This window comes from Homo sapiens, chromosome 7, assembly GCF_000001405.40.
Source record: "Homo sapiens chromosome 7, GRCh38.p14 Primary Assembly".
In the NCBI taxonomy this organism is placed as follows: Eukaryota; Metazoa; Chordata; class Mammalia; order Primates; family Hominidae; genus Homo; species Homo sapiens.
In genome coordinates this window covers 39,550,932-39,567,262 of record NC_000007.14, presented here as the reverse complement: position 1 = coordinate 39,567,262, position 16,331 = coordinate 39,550,932, and the positions used below count along the sequence as shown (strand labels likewise).

The 16,331-nt window shown below is 40.7% G+C and overlaps 1 protein-coding gene and 1 long non-coding RNA gene across 3 annotated transcripts in view, besides 1 other annotated feature; one reads left to right on the top strand and one right to left on the bottom strand.

Annotated features, from left to right (window-relative positions):
* The window catches only part of YAE1 (YAE1 maturation factor of ABCE1), a 45,686-nt gene extending 44,827 nt beyond the window's left edge, over positions 1-859 (bottom strand). For both annotated transcript variants that reach the window (NM_001282446.2, NM_020192.5), the window contains exon 1: positions 716-859. In NM_001282446.2, coding sequence (NP_001269375.1) covers positions 716-844 — 129 coding nt within the window. In that variant the 5' untranslated portion in view covers positions 845-859. The remainder of the gene's footprint in view (positions 1-715) is intronic.
* Positions 573-1,022: an enhancer, noted in NCBI's record as "active region_25876". NCBI's record gives its function as "activates an Ori minimal core promoter by ATAC-STARR-seq in GM12878 lymphoblastoid cells {active_cell/tissue: GM12878}" and the evidence as "EXISTENCE:reporter gene assay evidence [ECO:0000049][PMID:35858748]".
* Positions 914-15,934, top strand: YAE1-DT (YAE1 divergent transcript). The gene is made up of 3 exons (NR_187579.1): positions 914-1,120; positions 13,319-13,387; positions 15,594-15,934. It is a non-coding gene; the product is annotated as a YAE1 divergent transcript (long non-coding RNA).
* The last annotated feature ends 397 nt before the right edge of the window (positions 15,935-16,331 follow it).

The window sequence follows — 16,331 nt, the reverse complement described above, 5'->3', positions numbered from 1 at the left end:
CACTCTACTGAAATATTAAACAGGGCAGATTCCCAACTGCAGCTTTAGCGGCAATTTAATGGTTGGCAAATATATTAAGTGGATGTGGACCTCACTATTTGGTCCTCACCCAGAAATACTGTAGGCTGCACACAGAAATTAAGCTTAGTTTCAATGAATAGTGAGACAAATTAGAGATGAAAAAGTTACATCTAACAAATAAAAAAGAAACCAACTTTAATATTCCCTTACCTAGACACCAGTATTCCACATTAGCTTTCCCTTATTGTCCTCTGACAGCATGCTTTAGTTCATCTTTTCAATATGTCTTGATTAACACTACTCCTTAACTTTAGGCTCCCTACCCATTCAAGCCACCCATATAAACTGCGTACACGTCCTTTGACAGCCATAATAAGTATAGTGTATGTTTCTCTCCAGCTCCTTTCCCTGTGATCCTCAACAAACTGCAAACTGTTCAAAGTCTACACATAGTTAATTTTGGTCGGTCCTCAGTTTCTAACGCATCCCGTAGGCGCTCAAAGAATGCGTCTTGTTGTTTTACACGCTTTCAAGTAACCATCGAGAAATCCTAGCAAGACGCGGGTCGGACCGGGTCCCTAGGGATAAAGAGAGCAGCGCCGGGCCAGGCTGGGGCCACTCTGGACCCAGCTTCTTCACAACTCCGCGCCTCTTCCCACAACCCAGCACCCCGCGCCGTCCACACCACGTTTACTTTGACTCGTCTTTGCATGTTACTCTGCCATTCCCGCTGCGCCAGGAGCGACTCGTCTGCTTCTTCGTCAAACACGTCCCCTTTGTCTCCAGGGCCCTGGATCAAGGAGGCTGCTTGAACCCACGACATCACCGAGGCAATTACGGGGTCGCAGGCCACCGGAAGCGCCAACAACTCCTTCCGGTCCGAAGGCGGGGCGAAGACGGCGAGTGGAGGCTCGGGAGGGGCTGCGTGTGCGCGGAGGCGGGCTGTGGCCCGTGGCCGCCGCCGGAGCCTTTCGCTTGCGGTGATTTTGGGCTCCCTCGGTTGGCAGTGTTGATGTGTGCCTGTGAGTTGTGAGCGAGGCAGATTTCCTCGCGTGGCCGGCACGACCTTCACCTTTGCAGAAGGCAACCGGGACCCTCAGTGAGACACCTTCCATTTCCACCGTAGTCTTACCATGGTCTGGGTTTTACATTCGCGCGCTTTGGTAAACTATTAAAGGTAGTAAAGTCGATGGGCGATTACCACCCAAATACTTTGTCTCTTTTGGAATCTCCTCTGCATTTAAAGGATTTGACAAGCCGACATTTTAAACTGTTAGGATTGTGGAGTAAAGGAAAATAGGATCGAAAAGCGAGGTACTGTAGCCAATTTGAGATTAGTAAGAAATATAGAGTACATTTGTAAAGCCAATATATTTTTTCATTGATTCACGATATCCTTCTGCCTCCCATTCCTGTTCATATGCCCTAAAGTAAACAGTTGGTTTGGTAAGGGTGGGGACTTGTGTCAACACCAGGACAGTTCTGACACATAGTAAATGCTGAACTCTATTTTGGTGAATGAATGAATACCTGTAGTATTCCTGTTTTGCCCTTTGCCTGGGTAAAATGAGTCATGTGATTATGATTTATTTATCTAACAATTTATTGAACACCTACCTTGTGTCAGGTACCATTCCAGGCTTTGGGATACATCAATGAACAGACGGAAGTTCCCAACCCTTGTCGACTTTATAGTCATGTAAAATTGACAGGATAAACAATAAGCAATATATAAGTAGCATAAGGTTTGTTAGAAGATCATAAATAAATGCTATGAAAAAAATTTTTAAATAAGCACAGTAAGAACCATAAGTGTGTGGGAGTGGGTGGTTGGTTCATGTTACAATTTTAAATCTCCAGAGAGAATTTGGCATCCCACAAATAAAAAATATATAAACTACAAATATGTATATTTTATTAATGTAAATATATTAAGATATATGTATATATCTTTATTAGGAACAAAATGGTAGTAAGCAATAAAGATAACAATAAAATAGAAAACCTCAAAACTTGAATAAGTAAGTCCAATTCTTTTTTGTATTATTTGAAAACACCAATAAGATAGATAATCCTGTCATGACCCAGATTTTTAAAGAGAACAAAATTATACAAGAATGAGAAATGAGATAACCACTGATGCAGAAGGAGATTAAAATATTAATTACCAACTAAAACTCAAAAGCAACACATTCGAAAACCTGAGAGATATGAATGACTTTCTAAGAAAATTGACCCAAGAAGTAGGGTCATGAAGAGACTAATTACCATAGAAAAATTGGACATTAAATATCTACTATTAAAAATGTCATGGAGACTTGGGAGTTTCACATTAAGTCCTTTGCAATCTTTAAGGAATGATGGAGTCTTAAACTATTTTTACCATTTTAGGGGAGAGAAAAAGAAGAAACTCCTTAAATCATTTCATGAAGCCAGCCTTACTGTAACTTCATAAAGATAGTACCAGAAAAACCCCAAAGTTCAAGTTAGCTTGTGAATATATATCCAAAAGAGAATCTAGTAGGTTGGTGCAAAATTAATTGGGGTTTACTTTTGCACCAACCTGGTAGTACTTTATCAAAAGAATAATTTAAGAGGTTTTGTACCAGGAAAGCAAACTTTTGCAATATTAGGACATCAATAATATTTCATTGCATTGACTATTTTTTTTTTTTTTAAAACAGCGTCTTGCTCTGTCACCCAGGCTGGAGTGCAGTGGTGAGATCACAACTCACTGCATCCTTGATCTCCTGGGCTTGAGCTATCCTCCTGCCTCAACCTCTTGAGTAGCTAGGACTACAGGCATGTACCACTGCACCTGGCTAATTTTTTGATTTTTTTGTAGAGACAGGAGTCTCACTATGTTGCCTAGGCTGGTCTCCAACTTCTGAGCTCAAGCTATCCTCCTGTGTCAGCCTCCCAAAGTGCTGGGATTACAGGCATGAGCCACTGTGCCTAGCCTGCATCAACAATATAAAAGGGAAAAAACATGTTATATTAATAAATGCTAAAAAGTTATTTGAAAAAATTTAAAAATCATTTCTAACAAAATAAAGTAGAAATAGAAACTACAAATTGGTAAAGACTTTACAAAAATTCCAACGAGTAGTATTTTAAACACTTAGATGTTCAGATATTTCCTTTAACATATAGAAAGGAGAGGGCATCTGGTAGTCACTATTATTACTTAATATTCTTTTAGAGACTAGCACACTAGCACTTGCAATAAGAGAAGTAAACAAAATAACATGTATAAATGTTGGATAATAAAAGATGAAGATATTCCTTTTTAAAAAATGAGACGGGATCTTGTTCTGCCACCAAAGCTGGAATGCAGTGGTGCAATCATAGCTCACTGCAACCTCAAACACCTGGGTTCAAGCAATCCTCCTGCCTCAGTTTCCCAGGTAGTTGGGACTACAGGCACGCACCACAATGCCCAGCTAATTTTTAAATTATTTTTAGTAGAGACGGGGGTCTCGCTTTGTTGCCCAGGCTGGTTTTGAACTCCTGGCCTTAAGTGATCCTTCTGCCTCAGCCTTTCAAAGTGCTGTGATTATAGGCATGAACCACCATGCCCAGCCTAAGATATTCCTTTTGGTCATTATATGATTATATACCTAGAAAACCCAAAAGACTTTGCTTAAAAAATAACAGAATAAAGAAATTTGATAAAGTCTGTGAATATAAGAAAAATAAACACACCAATAGCCTCTTCTAGTAATAATCATCTAGAAATGTAAATGAGATAAATATTCCACTTGAAATACCAACAAATATTATTAAATATAGTAATGACATGTTTGTTTAGTATTTAGTGTTTATTTAGTACTATATTTGTAAATGTCAGGAACACATTTTTAAAATCATGCAGTAACATGCATACATTTTGAGTGTAAACACCACCTATGAAGATATAGAAAATTTCCATCACCCCAGAGAATTTCCTCGTGCTCCTTTGTGGTCAGTCTCTCATCCCTGGCAACCCTTGATCCAATTTTTATCACTAGATTAGTTTTGCCAGTTTAGAATTTCATAGAAATGGAATTGTATATGTCCTTTAATATATTTGGCTTCTTTGACTCAACATGTTTTTGAGATTCATTTATTTGGTTGCATGTACCAGTAGATTGATCTATTTTATTGCTAAGTACTATTTTCATTATAGGGCTATACCATGATTTGTTCATGTAGTCATTTTTGGACATTTGGATTGTTTCCAGTTTTTGGCTATTATGAATAAAGCTGCTGTGGACATTTTTGTACATGCCATTTTGTGTACACGTTTTCATTTCTCTTGGGTAAATATCTAGAAGTGGAATTGCTGGTCATATAGTAAGTATACATTTAACATTATAAGTGGTATGGGCCGGGCACGGTGGCTCACACCTGTAATCCCAGCACTTTGGGAGGCCGAGGCGGGCAGATCATGAGATCAGGAGTTTGAGACCAGCCTGACCAACATGGTGAAACCCCATCTCTACTAAAAATACAAAAATTAGCTGAGCGTGGTGGCACACGCCTGTAATCCCAGCTACTCAGGAGGCTGAGTCAGGAGAATCGCTTGAACCTGGGAGGTGGAGGTTGCAGTGAGCTGAGATCGCACCAGTGCACTCTAGCCTGGGCGACAGAGCGAGACTCTGTCTCAAAAGAAAAAAAAACAAAAAAACAAGTGGTATGGTTTGGCTGTGTCCCCGCCGAAATCTCATCTCATCTTGAATTGTAGTTCACAATCCCCACGTGTCATGAGAGGGACCTGGTGGGAGTTAATTGGATCATAGGGGCAGTTACCCTCATGCTGCTGTTCTTGTCATGGTGAGTGAGTTCTCATGAGATCTGATGGTTTTATAAGGGCCTTTTCCCCCTCTTGCTTGGCACTTCTCCTTCCTGACGTCATGTGAAGAGGGATGTGTTTGCTTCCCCTTCCACCATGATTTTAAGTTTCCTGAGGCCTCCCCAGCCCTGCGGAACTGTGAGTCAATTAAACTTTTTTTCCTTTATAAATTAGCCAGTCTGGAGCGGTCCTCTGTGGCAGCATGAGAATGGACTAATACAATAAGAAACTGTAAGCTGTGTTTCCAAAGAGATAGTACCACTTTACACTTCCACCATCAATGTTTGAGTGTCAGTTGATCCACATCCTCTGCCTCACTTGGAATTGACAGTATTTTTAACATTAGCTATTCTAATGAGTGTGTAGTAGTATCTATTACTGTGGCTTTAATTTGCATTTTCCAGATGACTTATGATATTGAACACATTTTCATGTGCTTATTTGTTATTTGTATATGTATTTCTTTTTTTTTGGAGATGGAGTCTTGCTCTCTTTCCCAGTCTGGAGTGCAGTGGCGTAATCTCGGCTCACTGCAACCCCTGCTTTTCAGGTTCAAGCGATTCTCCTGCCTCAGCCTCCCGAGAAGCTGAGATTACAGGCGCCTGCTACCATGCCCGGCTAATTTTTGTATTTTTAGCAGAGATGAGGTTTCACCATATTGGCCAGGCTGGTCTTGAACTCCTGACCTCAGATGATCCACCCGCCTCGGCCTCTCAACGTGCTGGGATTACAGGCATGAGCCACCGCGCCTGGCCAATTTGTATATTTTTTAAATGAAATCTTTGTCTATAAAAAATTAGGTTGTTTTCTTATTGTGTTTAAAGGTTCTTTGTATATTCTGGACATAAGTCTTTTGTTGGTTACATGTTTTATGACTATGTTCTTTGCATTTATTATATCCAGCAGGAGACAGATATGGAGATAGAGTCAGGAGTGCATGAGGTCTATAGGTGGGTGGGGAGTATAATGTCTGTGAAAGATAAAAAGAGGAGGAACATGATTAGGCAGGGAAAGCCTTCAGAAAGTGATGTTGATCTGATTCCTGTAATAGGGAAGGGAGGAAGAAGCAGGATAGGGCAAAGAGAGCCTCAGATTGCTGTGTAGATCCAACAAAGCTTTAGCCAACATAAAAAGGAACTCTGGAGCAAAGAACAAAAGGATTCCTGCATTAGGCACACACAGCCAGACCTTGATATTCCTGCTATGCTCAATCATTGGCTGGGGGTTGCCCTGGAAGACTATGGCCTTAGCTAGAAATCGAAGGCAGATCCTGTAGGTGCTTACAGCTGGAGGCTGACAGCTAACCAAGCCTTCAAGGACCAGATGATCTTTCAAGGTCTTTTCAAGTGTGTGATTCTATTGTTTCCAAAACAGCATTTCCCCTCCTTTTTAAAAAAGTGAACTGTAAATAACAATGACATCCCCTGCGTAAATTTTGATGTCACAACGTGAATTCACTCCCGGGTATTTAGTAAACTTATCTTACACCTCAGTATCTCTTATATAAATACTCTGATCAGGTCAACCTTTAGAATTCACTGTATCTCCTTCCCATTCTTCTGCTTATCGTTCATCCTTGTCTTTTCCTTCAAAGCCTTCAACAATTCTTTTTTATGTCCTTCTATTTCTAATCTCCTGCTAAGTTTTATTCTTTATCTCAGTCTTCAGAACTTTATTTGTGACTTTTGCAAACTGCTCTTTTGTAGTTGATATAATAAACTCTAAGAGGGCACAGACCTTTTCTATACTTCTCTTCAAAGTTTCTAGCACACTAGGGCTTTAATCATTCTGTCTTTGGCAACCAGCCAGCAGGACTGATTTCCATATGCCAAGTGAAGTCATTTTCCCACTTTTCCTTGTCCCTTCTAAACTTTCGTATGTTCTATCCTTAGTGGCATTCAGCAACTAACTCCTTGGTTGCTGTCTTTTAATTACTTATATCAGGTTTGCAAGACTGTGTAATATGTATTAGAAAAAATAAAATTCTTGCTGGTGGTGAAAATAGATGGGAAATTATTCAAAAAACAGCTTCTAAGAGAGGACCTTGGAATAAGAATAGTAGGTTGATTCTGAGCAGACTTGCCTCCTTTCTTTTAAAGTCTGTAGATGACTCCAGTTCCAATATAGAATGTTTGTTGAATATTACAAAGTATGAAGTAGAAATGTCAGACAGGTGATCTGTCTTCCTCTTTTTTTCTTTGAGACAGGTCTCACCCTGTCGCCCAGGCTGGAGTACAGTGGCACAATCACAGCTCACTGCAGCCTTGACCTCCTGGGCTCAAGTGATCCTCCCTCCTTAGCCTCCTGAGTAACTAGCACACCACCACATCTGCTAATTACACTTTTTTTTGTAGAGACAAGGGTCTCGCTATGTTGGCCAGGCTGGTCTTGAACTCCTGGGTTCAAGTGATCCTCTCACTTTGGCCTCCCAGCGTATTGGGATTACAGGTGTGAGCCACTGCACCCAGCCAATTTAATACTTTGAAATTGTTTTTATTCTTTGTAAATTTTCCTTGACATTGTTAAGTTCGATTTAGCTGAAGAATATTTCATACTCTTGCCAAAGATCAAAACTTTTTTTGGTGGAGTTTTACTTGCATAATTCAACAATTATTTGTTGAACTTTAGCTATTGCACTAGAAGCTGGGGGAGCACGTGTATGTTGCCTACTATTTCTTCTACAAGGTCAATGGTGGTGTGTCCCCTTACAAGGTCAGTAAGTGTTGTGCCCACCCAAGAGCAATTTGCAGCAGTTAATGCTTCTGCCAAGAATGCTTTATTCCAGATATTAGCATGATTGACTCCTTTTTTTTTTTTTTTTTGTCTCGCTGTGTTACCCAGACGGAAGTACAGTGGTGTGATCACAGCTCACTGCAGCCTCAGATGCTTGGACTCAAGTGATCCTACTGCCTCAGTCTCCCAAGTAGCTGAGATTACAGGTGTGAGCCACAGTGCCCAGCGATTGGCTCCTTTTAATCATGTGGATTTTAATACATTTAGTACAAATCCTGTCTCCTTGAAGAGGGCTTCCCTTTCTACTCAGCCTAAAGGAGCATCTCCATTAATAGGTACCTTTATTTTTTATGTGTATAATGATACTTAGAGAAATATTTAAAAGGATTTTGCTGGCTGGGCATGGTGGCTCATGCCTGTAATCTCAACACTTTGGGAGGCCAAGGCAGGCGGATAGCTTGAGGTCAGGAGGTCGAGACCAGACCTGCCAACATGGTGAAATGCCATCTCAACACACACACACACACACACACACACACACACACACACACACACACACACAGATTAGCTGGGCGTGGTGGCGGGTGCCTGTAATCCCAGCATTTTGGGAGGCTGAGGCAGGAGAGAATTGCTTGAACCCGGGAGGCAGAGGTTGCAGTGAGCTGAGATCGTGCCACAGCACTCTAGCCTGGGCAACAAAGCGAGACTCCATCTCAAAAAACAAACAAACAAAAGGATCTTGCTAATATTTTTGTTTATATTTTTAAAAATTGCTCCTGTGCCTCCCTGACTGTCTTGCTTACTTCTATAACCCTAGTTCCCAGCATAGTCCCTGCCACATAGTGAACACCCAATAAATATTTCTTTTTTTGGTGATTTTTTCCCTTTATTTTATTTTATTTATATTTATTATTGTTATTTTTTGAGACAAGGTCTCGCTCTGTTGCCCAGGCCAGAGTGCAGTGGCATGATCATAGCTCACTGTAGCCTCTACCTCCTAGGCTCAAATGATCCTCCTGCCTCAGCCTCCTAAGTAGCTGGGACTACAGGTGCATGTCACAATGTCTAGCTAGTTAAAAAATTTTTGCTGTTGTTGTTGAAATGAGATAATGAGATCTCAGTATGTTGCCTAGGCTGGTATCAAACTCCTGGACTCAAGCAATCCTCCTGCCTCAGCCTCCCAAAGTGCTGGAATTACAGGTATGAACCACTGGGCCCAGCCCCTTTTATTTTTGGTTGACACGTAATAATTGTACACATTGATGGGATATCGAGTGATATTTCCATGTGTGTATAGGTTAATTAGTATATCCATCACCTCAAGCATTTATCATTTGTGTTGTGAACATTCAAAAGCTTCTCTTCTACCTTTTTGAAAATGTACAATAAATTATGGCTAACCATATTCACTCTACAGTACTGTAGAACACCAGAATTCATTCTTATCTAGCTGTAATTTTATCTCTTAACTAATCTCACCCTATCTTCCCCTCCTCCCTACCCTTCTCAGTCTCTAATAGCCACAATCCTACACTCTACTTCCAAAAGCTCAAAATTTTTTTCTTAGCTCTCACATGAGTGAAAACATGTGGTTCTTATCTTTTGGTGCCTGACTTATTTTGCTTAACATAATGTCCTCCAAGCTCACTCATGTTACTGCAAAATGAAGGATTTCATTCTTTTTAAATGGCTGAATAGTATTTCATTGTGTATACAACATTTCTTTATCTCTTTGTCTGTTGATGGGACATTTAGGTTGATTCCATTATCTTTGCTATTGTGAATAGTGCTATGATAAACATGGGAATGCAAGCATCCCTTTGAATATACTGACTTCTTTTCTTTGGATAAATATCCAGTAGTGGGATTGGTGGATCATATGGTAGATCTATTTTTAGTTTTCTTGAGAAACCCCTATTTTGTTTTCCATAATGGCTGTACTAATTTACATTCCCACTAACAGTATGTAAGGTTCCCTTTTCTCTAAATTCTCACCAGCATTTGTTATTTTGTGTCTTTTCGGTAACAGCCATTCTAACTGGGTGAAGTGACATCTCATTGTGGCTTTGATTTGTATTTCTCTGATGGTTAGTTATGTTGAACATTTAAAAATATATCTGTTGGCTCAATAAACATTTCTTGCATGACAGATTCTGCATGCCAGATCTTCTCTTCATTACTTAGGAACCTCAGGGAAACCCCACCTCTGTTGGAGGAGGAGGATTTTTGTGACTATTCCTTTGCCTGCCTTTCTGCAGAGACTGAGCCACTCCCTACTCCCCCATACGGGTTCCTGCTTCTGTGGTTGCATCTGCTTACTAACATTCTCCCATAACTCTATTTTACCTACCTAGTAATCTACTCACTTATGGCCTCTTAGTGGTCAGGGACAGTATTATTTTCATCTCACATTTATTTGGAAACATTATTATCTGGTAAGGAATGCTCTAAGTAGAGCCCAGTGGTTAGGAACAAGGGCTCTGGGGTCAAATTTATAGATTTGAACGTTTATTTTGCCACTTACTGACTGTGTAGTCTTGGGTGTGTTACTTGATCTGTCTGTGCCTCAGTTTCCTCATCTGTAACATTGAATATTACTAATACTACCTTCATATAGATATCAGAAGATTAAAAGAATAACCACACAAAAGCAGTGCTCAATAAATGTTAGCAATTATGTTTATTTCTTTTATCTGAGCTGAGATCAGATGCTTCAAGGATTTTCAGAGTCCTCTCCGAGATTTTTTGACTCCGGAATAACTTAACCACTTTCCCTTTCACCCCCTGCATTTGTCATCCCTTTCCTTCCCCTACATCTCCATTTCTGCCCACCCCAATAATTTCTTAATTGTCTCAGTTACCTCTATTTGAATTAGAACCTAAACATTCCACACATATGGAGCTGACATGTCTTTTTAGTTTCTTTTATTCTATTGTCTTTCCTCCTCACTTCCTTCTCCCCAGTTACACTTGCCTCCTTGCTGACTTTGAACATATTGAGCACACTCTTGCCCTAGGGTCTTTGTACTTCTCTCTTTGTGGAACAATTTTTCTCTCCTCCCATGGCTTGCTCCCTCACATCCTTCAGGTCTCTGTTCAAATGTTGCCTTATTGGAGAGACCTTTACCTATTTTAATATAAAGTAGAACCCCCAATCACTCTCCCTTTTCAATCCTGCCTTATTTTTTTTAATCATTGCACTAATGACATATTATCCATTTGCTTATTTATTGTCTGTCTTCATCATTAGGATGTAAAATCTATGACAGTAGAGATGCTATGTGTTTCGTTCATTGCTGTATCCCCAATGTCTAGAACAATACATAGGACATAGGCACTCAAATAAATATTTGTTGAATGAATTAATGGATTGACGGATTAGATGACTTAGTTTTCACTCTACTTAACTCTTTTAAAAAAGTTGTTCTGACTATGCTTGTGATTAGTGAATCCTTTTTGCTAACAGCAATTATATTAGGACACATAGTCTATATATATGAAATATAGTTGAGTGACATACAATTACTCATATATAGATCTTAATACATATTAGTTGACCAATTGGCTTACTTATTAACAGAGTATTTAATTCTGGCTTGAAAGGCCAGGGCATGATTATCTAGGCCAACTTTATCCAGACTGAGAGTTAGCATACAATATTTAAGTAAGCTCAGGTTTTAGTAAGCTCTACATTTTCAAATCTTATTTTTACCATTTCTTAGCATTTTGTGGCTGGGCAAGTGATCCAGCCTCTTTGAATGTGCTTATCTCTAATGTGGGAATAATTGTTCTTTTCTTGTAGAGTTAATACTAAGATTTAGTGAAATCACATAGCAAGTGCCTACTCAGTTTCTGGGGCTTTTCTCAATAAATGCTGCTTTCATTCCCTTTCCACTATCTTCTGAATCCTGTGGTTAAATTATTTTTTCTATTCTAGGGACAGTCATTTTCTACAAAAGAGCATCTTTTATCTGAAAGATGAGTGCAGACAATTCCATTTCATTAAAGAGCTGACGATTTAATAATTTACTTAGAAGCAAGCTATGGCTTCCATTATGAAACTCATCTGGCATATGTGCAAAGAACCACTATTATTTTTCTACTGACAAGAAAGCTGATGGAATATAAATACTTTACAAATGTGCACAGAACAGGTTACCCTTGTGCAATGTCTGTACCTGAAGAAATATCATATGATGCTTTGCAGTAGATGTGGCTCAACATAAAATTTGTCATTTCGTGAGTGCTTGAAATATTGCTCTGTTTCTTATACCCTGTACTGCACGTGCTTATTTGATAATGTTGGTCTGCCTCCTTATTTCAGTTGCTGAAGTGACATAGCCCTGTTTTATAATTTGCCAAATGATTGAAGGTGCCAGACAGCTTGCTATTACCCCAGTAACATCACTGATTCTTAGTTCTTAAAGAAGAAGGGAGGACAGTGAGCATTTAGCTTGAGGGTGATGTATTCTGTGGGAATGTATATTCTCAGCAAGTTGTTTGTGATTTTTTTTCCTTCTGTACAGCCAGAGGAGCAGAGGGACATATTTCAAATTCCCATTGGCAAGAAGGGCCCCTGGTTCTTTTATAAGGATTTGTAAAATTCCGTCCCTTTGAATCTTGTCAGCAATCTCTGGATATCCTCCAGCCTTTCTTTCATAAAGCTTTCAACATACAGAGCTGAGTGGGCCGGGCAGGGAAAGTGTATGTGAGTGTGTGATTGCCTGAGCCTGCGTCTGTGCTTTGTGCCTATCTGGAGCTGCCTTGATTGAAATGCCAATGTTCTGCCACTTTCTGGTCTGAATTTACTATGGCAATAAAATGGAAGCGTCCGCCTGCATAGCGAAGTGAAGTGTAACAGTGGAACCTCGCCATTTATTTAGTTGAGTCAGCTTAATGGAGATCAGTGCTCAATTCTTCCTTTTGGTTCCTTTCTTGTTTCTCATCTCTAGTTTCTCATCAGCTGTTGAGTTTGGGGGAAAGTATTTCCCTGGAGCTGTAACAGCTCTCCATGTGGGGAAAGGGAGTGGTTACCTTCAATCTCCAAGAATGATAGGTGTGAGCAGAACTTGTCAAGAGTTTTATTGTTTGAAAGCACCTACATTTTTCTATTTTCAACTTCTTTTGGAGAGAATAAATCACAAAATATTGGCAAGGCAAAGTTTTTATTTCTTACCAAATCATTAGATATCGGATAATGGAAGCTGTTAAATTGCACAAGTTGGTTTGTGGTTTGCAGGTACAAGAAAACACTTCATGATTACTCTCAGAATTCTGAATGGCCTGAAGCTGTTTGTTTATTTATTTATTTATTTATTTACATACTTATTTATTTGAGAAAGGGTCTGGCTCTGTCACCCAGGCTGGAGTGCAGTGGAACAAACACGTTTCACTGCAGCCTTGACCTCCCAGGCCCAAGTGATCTTCCCACCTCAGCCTCCTGTGTAGCTGGGACCACAGGCATGTGCCACCATGCCCGGCTAATTGTTTGATTTTTTTTTTTCTGTAGAGAATAGGGTCTCACTTTGTTGCCCAGGCTGGTCTTGAACTCCTGGGCTCAAGCAATCCTCCTACCTCTGAATCCCAAAGTACTGGGATTACAGGCATGAACCACTGCACCTGGCAGCCTGAGGCTTTTGAGGTTTGGGAGTAAATGGCAGGAAAGCAGTATTAAACAATATTCATCTTATTAGTAGGAAAGACCCCAGCTATTTATTTTATTCTTTGTAGGTTGATTCCAGTTCAAAAGTTGCTGTGGTCCTGGAAATGAGGATTCTGGGCAAAACAAGAAATTGGGTGGTAAGCACAGTCAAATACATTCGATTTCCCCCATGACCTCATGTGTAGAAAAGAACGGAGCTGCTCTACTTCACTGAGCAGATTCTGCACATGTTCACTTAAGGGATTAATTTTGCTCTTAAGGTTGGTAGGTTTCACATAGCACTGTAGCGGGACTGCTTGATTCATTCATGTATTCATTCTGTAAATACCATGCCAGGTTGTGAATACAAAGATAATTCAAACATGGATCACAACATATTTCTCTAATTTGACTGTGACCTCCTTGCCAGCAAAGAGTTTAGAGTCTAGTAGGGAAAATGCATTATGAACACGAGAGTAAAGTGTGGATAGAAACTGAAATGCCATAAAGCATACAGATAAAGAGAAGTAGAGATGAACTGTTCTAAACAGGGATAAATGAGGTTTGGTGGAGAGATTAGAGAAGACTTTGAGAAGGCATTTGAGCTTAACTTTAACTTTATAGGAACAGAAGGCAAACACTTTCCAGGTGGACAAAGACATAAACATGACAAAGCACTGGACAAAGAAGGTTTATATTTCTTGTGGTGGTGGGTGGAGGAGATGGGAGAACGAGCAAGGGACAATTCTGTAGTTTAAGGCCCATTTTGGAACCAGGACTTATGGGATTTATGAACTACTTTTGGGGCTCCAAGGAGCACAATAAGGATAGATGGCACTTTGGGGGCAGGGGGGAGGGGGTAGGGGGAGGAGGAGGGAGTCTGGGGCTGTGTAGTGTTTTCTGATACCACTTCTGACACCAAATGCGTGTCTATTATTGACACCGAATATTTTTCACACCAATTCTCTGACACCAACTGGGTGTCCAATAGTTCAGTTCAATTCTGACACTATCTACCTGGAGTTAGTGTCAGATCCCACAAGTTAAAGGGCTCAGTCCCAAAAGACTGCCCCTATTTCAGCTGCTAGCCACCAGTGTGGTCCCCAGTGAACCACACTTCTGTCTAACTGACAACAAAGTTGGGGATTCCTATGATCCTCACCCTTGCCTTAGTGTGGCCCAAGTTAACTAGATAATTTGTTAGAATGAACTCAAGAAAATACTCTACTTACTATTACAGTTTATTATAAAGGATACAACTAGGCCGGGCGCGGTGGCTCACGCCTGTAATCCCAGCACTTTGGGAGGCCGAGGCGGGCGGATCACAAGGTCAGGAGATCGAGACCATCCCGGCTAAAACGGTGAAACCCCGTCTCTACTAAAAATACAAAAAATTAGCCGGGCGTAGTGGTGGGCGCCTGTAGTCCCAGCTACTTGGGAGGCTGAGGCAGGAGAATGGCGTGAACCCGGGAGGCGGAGCTTGCAGTGAGCCGAGATCCCGCCACTGCACTCCAGCCTGGGCGACAGAGCGAGACTCCGTCTCAAAAAAAAAAAAAAAAAAAAAAGGATACAACTTAGGGCCAGGTGGAAGAGATCCCTAAGTCAAGGTTTGGGGCTGGAGGGTACAGAGCTTCCACATCCTTTCCAGGTACTACCCTCCCAGCACACCTGTGTGCTCACCAACCTGGAAGATCCTCAAATCTTGTCATTTAGTGGTTTTTGTGGAAGTTTCATTGCCAATGCATAGGCATGATTGATTAAATCATTTGCCATGGGTGATCGAACTCAATCTCCAGCCTTCCTCCACTCCCCAGAATGAGGTGGGGGAGGGAGACTGAAATTTCTAACCCTCCATTCATGTGGCTGGTTTTTCTGGTGACCAGCTTTCAGTGAGTCAGCTCATGAGTATATGAAAGACAATAAATTTCAGGGATTTTTGGAGTTCTATGCCAGGAACAGGGTATAAAGACCAAATACAGTTTACCCTTGAACAATGCAAGGGTTAGGAGCACTGACCCCTTGTGCAGTCAAAAATCTGAGTATAACATTTAACTCCCCCAAAACTTAACCACCAATAGGCGCCTATTGACCTGAAGCCTTACTGATAACATAATAGTTGATTAACATATGTTTTTTTGTGTGTTTTCTTTTCTTTTCTTTCTTTCTTTTCTTTTCTTCTCCTTTCTTTCTTTCTCTCTCTCTTTTTCTTTCTTTCCTTCCTTTCTCTTTCTTTCTTTCTTTCTTTCTTTCTTTCTTTCTTTCTTTCTTTCTTTCTTTCTTTCTTTCTTTCTTTCTTTCTTTCTTTCTCCTTCCTTCCTTCCTTCCTTCCTTCCTTCCTTCCTTCTTTCTTTCTTTCTGAGACAGAATGTCTCTCTGTCACTCAGGCTGGAGTACAGTGGTGTGATCTTGGCTTACTGCAACCTCGGCCTCCTGGGTTCAAACAATTCTCCTGCCTCAGCCTCCTGAGTAGCTGGAATTACAGGCACGCACCACCACGCCTGGATAATTTTCATGTTTTTAGTAGAGACAGGGTTTCACCGTGTTGGCCAGGCTGGTCTCGGACTCCTGACCTCAGGTGATCCACCCGCCTCAGCCTCCCAAAGTGCTGGGATTACAGGTGTGAGCCACCTCGCCCAGCCAATATTTTGTATGTTAAATACATTATGTGCTTCATTCTTACAATAAAGTCAGCTAGAGAAAGAAAATGTTACTAAGAAAATCATAAGGAAGAGGAAATGACTTTACTCTTCATTAAGTGGAAGTGGATCATCATAAAGGTTTTCATCCTCATCCCCTTCACATTGAGTAGGCTGAAGAGGAGGAAGCGGGGGTTGGGGGTTTATTGGTCTTGCATCTTAGGGTTGGCAGAGGTGGAAGAAAATCCGTGTATCAGTGGACCTGCACAGGTCAGACCCATGTAGTTCGAAGGTCAATTGTATTTATGTTTTACTATGCCACAGAGGCAGACACCATTTACTTCACAATTTTGCCAAGGAGGACAGCAGTGAGCACAGGCATGGGTGATGGTGGTGGGAGCGACATGGAGCAGTAAGGTAGCCATAGATAACACACTGGGTTAAGGTTGAATGGGTTGGTGGCTGT